Consider the following 6,649-nt stretch of genomic DNA (forward strand, 5'->3'; position numbering starts at 1 on the left):
TGTGGGAATTGATTCCTTCCTCAAGAGATTGAGGCTAGTGAGGGGGCCATGGTTGCTGGAGGGGTATCTGAGGTTGCCCCCTGCCCCACCTTGTGGAGTCCCAAAGATGAATGAGTTGGGGCTAGGGACACCTCCGACCCCGCCACACACACCTTTGGAGAGAAGGGAGTGAAGTTGGGAAAGACAAAAGGTTGAGAAGTTTTGTGGGCTTTTTTGAAATGGAGTCTCGCTCTTGTTGCCCAGGCTGGAGTGCAATGGCGCAATCTCGGCTCACTGCAACCTCTGCCTCCTGGGTTCAAGCGATTCTCCTGCCTCAGCCTCCAGAGTAGCTGGGATTACAGGCGCCCGCCACCACGCCCAGCTAATTTTTGTATTTTTTTAGTAGAGACGGGGTTTCACCATGTTGGCCAGGCTGGTCTCGTACTCCTGACCTCGTGATCTTCCTGTCTCAGCCTCTCAAAGTGCTGGGATTACAGGCGTGAGCCATTGTGCCTGGCCCACAGGGCTGGAATTCTAATTGAATTCTAATGGGGTGAACCAGAACAGGGCCTCAAGAAATGTGTGTGGAAGTATAGGGAAGCCTGGGCTCCCTTAAGCAGACTGGGATCCTAATTTTCCAAAGCAGCTGGGTGGGGCTGGAAGGAAAATATCTATATGGGATAACCAGGTGACCTTTTTTTTTTTGAAAATTTTTTTAAGTAGATAAGGGATTTTGCTGTGTTGGCCCAGTAGGTCTCAAACTCCTGGACTCAAGCGATCCTTCTGCCTGGCCTTCCCAAGTATTGGGATTACAGGTGTGAGCCACCATGCCCAGGTTCAAGTGACTTTTTTTTTTTTTTGAGACGGAGTCTCACTCTGTCGCCAGGGCTGGAGTGCAGTGGCACAATCTTGGCTCACTGCAACCTCCACCTCCTCCTGGGTTCAAGCGATTCTCCTGCCTCAGCCTCCCGAGTAGCTGGGATTACAGGCGCCCGCCACTATGCCCAGCTAATTTTTTGTATTTTTAGTAAAGATGGGGTTTCACCATGTTGGCCAGGCTGGTCTCGAACTCCTGACTTTGTGATTTGCCCGCCTCGGCCTCCCAAAGTGCTGGGATTACAGGTGTGAGCCACTGCGCCTGGCCCCAAGTGACTCTTTTAGGCCCAGCTCTTGTCTTCCAAGATCTACAGCAGTTTAGGGTTTGTGCTTTGAGGCCTGCTGGAAGGTGTTCCCAGGAGGTGGGAGGAAGATGGCCCTGTCTGAGGGGCTGGTGGCGCAATAGGCAGGGAAGCCCTTTGCAAGGGCCCCACACTGAAGATGGAAGAGTTACACTTTGAAGATCAGATTGGCTAGTTACTGTTTATTTCCTCTTTGTCACCCCCAGGCTTTTAGTGGAATCAGGTTTCCTTTTTTTTTTTTTTTTTTTTTGAGATGGAGTTTCACTCTGTTGCTCAGGCTGGAGTACAGTGGCACAATGTCTACTCACTGCAACCTCCGCCTCTCGGGTTCAAGCGATTCTCCTGCCTCAGCCTCCTGAGTAGCTGGGATTACAGGTGTGCACCACCATGCCCAGCTAATTTGTGTATTTTTAATAGAGACGGGGTTTCACCATGTTGGTCAGGCTGGTCTCAAACTCTGACCTCGTGATCTGCCCACCTCAGCCTCCCAAAGTGCTGGGATTACAGGCGTGACCCATCACACCTGGCCTGGAATCAGGTTTTCTAAATAGGATTCAAACTTGAAAATCAAAGGAGGACTGCGGGGCTGGGCGTGGTCCTGTAATCCCAGCACTTATGGGAGGCTCAGGAGGGTGGATCACTTGAGGTCAGGAGTTCAACACCAGCCTGGCCAACATGGCAAAAGCCCATCTCTACTAAAAAAAAAAATACACATGCCTGTAATCCCAGCTACTCGGGAGGCTGAGGCAGGAGAATCACTTGAACCCAGGAGGCGGAGGTTGCAGTGAGCCAAGAGTGTGCTATCGCACTCCAGCCTGGGCGACAGAATGAGACCCTGTCTCAGAAAAAAACAAAACAAAACAAAACAGAAAACACCAAAGGAGGAGTGCAATAGCACAATTAGCCCCGAGCAGGAATAGGGGAGCAGCATCTGAATTCAAAGGGCCAAAGCAGCAGAGGTAGCCCTTGGAAGAACCTCCACCGAAAGACAGAGCTTGGGGAATAGAATTGGGACAGAGCTCCAGCTGCCTCTTTGGTGGCAGGCCGTAGGAGATTCAGGATGGACTTTTGTTATGAGAGCTGTTGGGTTTCCTTATAGGAACTGAATGAAAGCAATTTCATTCCAAAACCCACTGGTCTTTGTTCTGAGCAGAGAACATAGAGGCAGAGGCCTGGAGGTGTCGAACAGCGCAGGCCATGGCAAGAGACGGGGAGGGGGACAGTGGAGTCTGAGGGGCAAGGACATTGCAGGAGGGGTCCTAGGAGTGGGAGGGTGGGGGGGGACTTTGAATAAGGGAATTTCAGGAGATGGGACCTGGACACAGGGGTAATGTGGGAGAGGAGGGCCTGAGGCAGAGACATCATGAGATGGTGAGAAATGGGGTCCCTGAGGGAAGGGGCCTTTGGCAGATGGGCCCTGAATTAGGGGGGTAGGGGGTTGGTGTGCTGGGAGATGAGGGGGCACCTGAGAAGATTGTGAGTCCCAGGCCAGGTGTGGCTCACGCCTGTAATCTCAGCACTTTGGGAGGCCAAGATGGGCGGATCACTTAAGGCCAGGAGTTCGAGACCAGCCTGCCCAACATGGTGAAACCCCATCTTTACTAAACATACAAAAAAAAATTAGCTCGGCGTGATGGTGCACGCCTGTAATCCCAGCTACTCAGGAGGCTGAGTCAAGAGAATCGCTTGAACCCAGGAGGCAGAGGTTGCAGTGAGCTGAGACTGTGCCACTGTACGAGACCCTATCTCAAAAAAAAAAAAAAAAAAAAGAAAAAGATGGGTGCCTCCAGCCTGAGGACTCCTCCCTCCCTCCTGGGATCCCCAAGGAAGCGGTGCTGGGAAAGCAGGAAGACCTTAGCACATTCAGCCAGAAATGTGGGTCACTGTCCCTGCTGTGTGACCTCAAGGAAAGCCCTCCCGTCTCTGGGCCTCAGTCTCCCCACCTGTCTATGGGAGCGTCTCTTCCCCTGCACCAGAAAAATTAAACAGTATGTGTGGGTTTCCTAGGAGAGGTCTGGGCTCATGTAGCCCCTACCAGGACCAGGCTGTACTCTGGGGTCACCAGGGGTGCCCAGCGCACATGGCCCCTGCCCTCCAACTGCCTTTCCCCCTCAGATTCGGGAGTTTCTCCCTCATCCATTGTCTTGTGCAGTGGGTGTGTACATGCACTTGCACACTCACCCACTCACACTCACTCTCAGCATCCTGGCCACAGACACTGGCATTGGGAGGCAGGCAGGCCCAGGCCTGGCCCCAGCCCCTCCTCTGACTTGCCTCCCTGAGCTGTGTTAGGAAGGCTGCCTCGAGGGAAATGGATTCACTGCCCCACCAAGGTGGCAAAAATGAAAAGGACTGACAACTCCCAGTGGAGGAAGGATGTGGAGCAGCTGCTGCTTCCTTACACTGTTGGATGCAGAATGGCACTCGAACTTTGGAAAGGGTCTGGCAACGTCCATGAAAGCTAAACATGGTCTATCCCATGAACCAGCAATTCCACTCCCAGGCACGCGTGTACCCAACAGAGTGCACATCTGTCATTAAAAGACACAACTAGAGGGCTGGGCGCGGTGGCTCAGGCCTGTAATCCCAGCACTTTGGGAGGCCGAGGTGGGCAGATCACAAGGTCAGGAGTTCGAGACCAACCTGACCAACATGGTGAAACCCCGTCTGTACTAAAAACACAAAAATTAGCTGGGCGTGGTGGTGCACGCCTGTAGTCCCAGCTACTCGGGAGGCTGAGGCAGAGGAATCACTTGAACCCGGGAGGTGGAGATTGCAGTGAGCCAAGATCGTGCCAGTGCACTCCAGCCTGGTGACAGAGCGAGACTCCGTCTTAAAAAAAAAAAAAAAAAAGAAAGGCCGGGCGCGGTGGCTCACGCCTGTAATCCCAGCACTTTGGGAGGCCGAGGCGGGTGGATCACGAGGTCAGGAGATTGAGACCATCCTGGCTAACACGGTGAAACCTCGTCTCTACTAAACATACAAAAAATTAGCCGGGCGTAGCGGCGGGCGCCTGTAGTCCCAGCTACTCGGGAGGCTGAGGCAGGAGAATGGTGTCAACCCGGGAGGCGGAGCTTGCAGTGAGCCGAGATCGCACCACTGCATTCTAGCCTGGGCGACAGAGCGAGACTCCGTCTCAAAAAAAAAAAAAAAAAAAAAGACATAACTAGAGGGCTGGGTGCAGTGGCTCGTGCCTGTAATCTCAGCACTTTAGGAGGCTGAGGTGGGTGGATCACTTTTTTTTTGTTGTTGTTGAGATGGAGTTTCACTCTTGTTGCCCAGGCTGGAGTGCAACGGCTCGATCTCAGCTCACTGGAACCTCCGCCTCCCGGGTTCAAGCAATTCTCCTGCCCCAGCCTCCCAAGTAGCTGGGATTAGAGGAGTGTGCCACCATGCCCGGATAATTTTGTATTTTTAGTAGAGATGGGGGTTTCTCCATGTTGGTCAGGCTGGTCTCGAACTCCCGACCTCAGGTGATCTGCCTGCCTCAGCCTCCCAAAGTGCTGGGATTATAGGCGTGAGCCACCGTGCCTGTTTTTTGTTTTTCTTTTTAGATGGGGTCTCACTCTGTCACCCAAGCTGAAGTGCAGTGGCGTGACCTCGGCTCACTGCAACCTCCACCTCCCAGGTTCCAGTGATTCTCCTGCCTCAGCCCTGTGAGTAGCTGGGATTACAAGCACATGCCACCACGCCCAGCTAGTTTTTGTATTTTTAGTAGAGACGGCGTTTCACCATGTTGGTGGGCGGATCACTTGAGGTCAGGAGTTTGAGACCAGCCTGGCCAACATGGCAAAACCCAGTCTCTAATAAAAATACAAAAACTAGCCGGGCATGTTGGCAGGTGCCTGTAATCCCAGCTACTTGGGAGGCTGAGGCAGGAGAATCGCTTGAACCCAGGAGGTGAAGGTTGCAGTGAGCTGAGATGGTGCCACTGCACTCTAACCTGGGTGACAAAGCAAGACTCCATTTCAAAAAAAAAAAAAAAAAAAGACATGACTAGGATGTTCCTGTCCCTAGCAGCACCAATTGTAATAGCCCCAAACTGGAAACCCCTAAGTCCCCCAACAGGAGAATAGACAAATTGTGTTATAGTCCCACAATGGGATGAAAAGGAAGGGGCCACAGATGCAGGTGACAATATGGATGACTCCTATAGACATAATGCTGAGAACAAGGAGCCAGACACAGAGATCACATGCTGTAAGATTTCATTTGTATGAAGCTCAAGAACAGGCACAACTGATGTGTGGTAACAGAAACCAGATCAGCTCTTGCCTCTGGAGGGGAGGCGACTGGAGGGGCTCCAGTGAACTTTCTGGGTGGAGGGAAAGGTTCTATGCCTTGATGTGGGTGGTAGCTTTGCAGATGCAACTTTTTTTTTTTTTTTGAGACGGGTTCTCGCTGTTGCCCAGGCTGGAGTGCAGTGGCATGATCTCGGATTACTGCAACCTCTGCCTCCCGGGTTCAAGCAATTCTCCTGCTTCAGCCTCCTGAGTAGCTGGGATTACAGGCATGCACCACCATGCCCAGCTAAGTTTTTTGTTTTTTTGTTTTTTTGTTTTTGAGACGGAGTCTCGCTTTGTCACCCAGGCTGGAGTGCAGTAGTGGGATCTTGGCTCACTGCAAGCTCCGCCTCCCAGGTTCATGCCATTCTCCTGCCTCAGCCTCCCAAGTAGCTGGGATTACAGATGAGTGCCGCCACGCCAGGCTAATTTTTTTTTAATTTTTAGTGGAGACGGGGTTTCACCATGTTAGCCAGGATAGTCTCGATCTCCTGGCCTTGTGATCTGCCCGCCTCGGCCTTCCAAAGTGCTGGGATTACAGGTGTGAGCCACTGCGCCCAGTTTTTTTTTTTTTTTTTTTTTGTATTTTTCGTAGAGATGGGGTTTCGCCATGTTGGCCAGGCTGGTCTCGTACTCCTGACCTCAAGTGACCCGCCCGCCTGGGCCTCCCAAAGTGCTGGGATTACAGGCGGGAGCCACCGCGCTTGGCCTGCAGATGCAATTTTTAAAATCATTGAGCTATACCCTTAAGATGCGTGCACTTCACTGTATGAAAGTTTATCTCAATAAAAAGAGAGAATAGCGTAGTGACCTAGAACTTTGGACAGCCTTGGTTCAAATCCCAGATTTGTCTCTTCTTAGCTGTGTGCAAATCACTTCTTCTCTCTGTGCACATTTAATGCACACTTAGAAGTGGGCAGAGCACATAGCAGGCACTCAGTGAATCACTGTCATCACCATCATCATCGTCATTGTGTCCCCTGGGTCCTACTCCTATAGGAGAGGCTCCCAGTCACCATCCCACGTCTGCTTCCCTCCCTCTCCCCTGTTCTGATTCCACAATGCCATCGCCTGGTGAATTCAAGCTGCTCTGACTTTCGTGGAGTTGAAAACTCCGTGATTAGATGGCTCTGAGATTCCGTGACTTCCAAGCCAGTGCCAGGCTAAGTTCCTGCAGTTTCGAGAGTCGCCTGGCAGCGCGCCCCAACA

The sequence above is a fragment of the Homo sapiens genome, chromosome 19, assembly GCF_000001405.40.
Source record: "Homo sapiens chromosome 19, GRCh38.p14 Primary Assembly".
Lineage (NCBI taxonomy): Eukaryota > Metazoa > Chordata > Mammalia > Primates > Hominidae > Homo > Homo sapiens.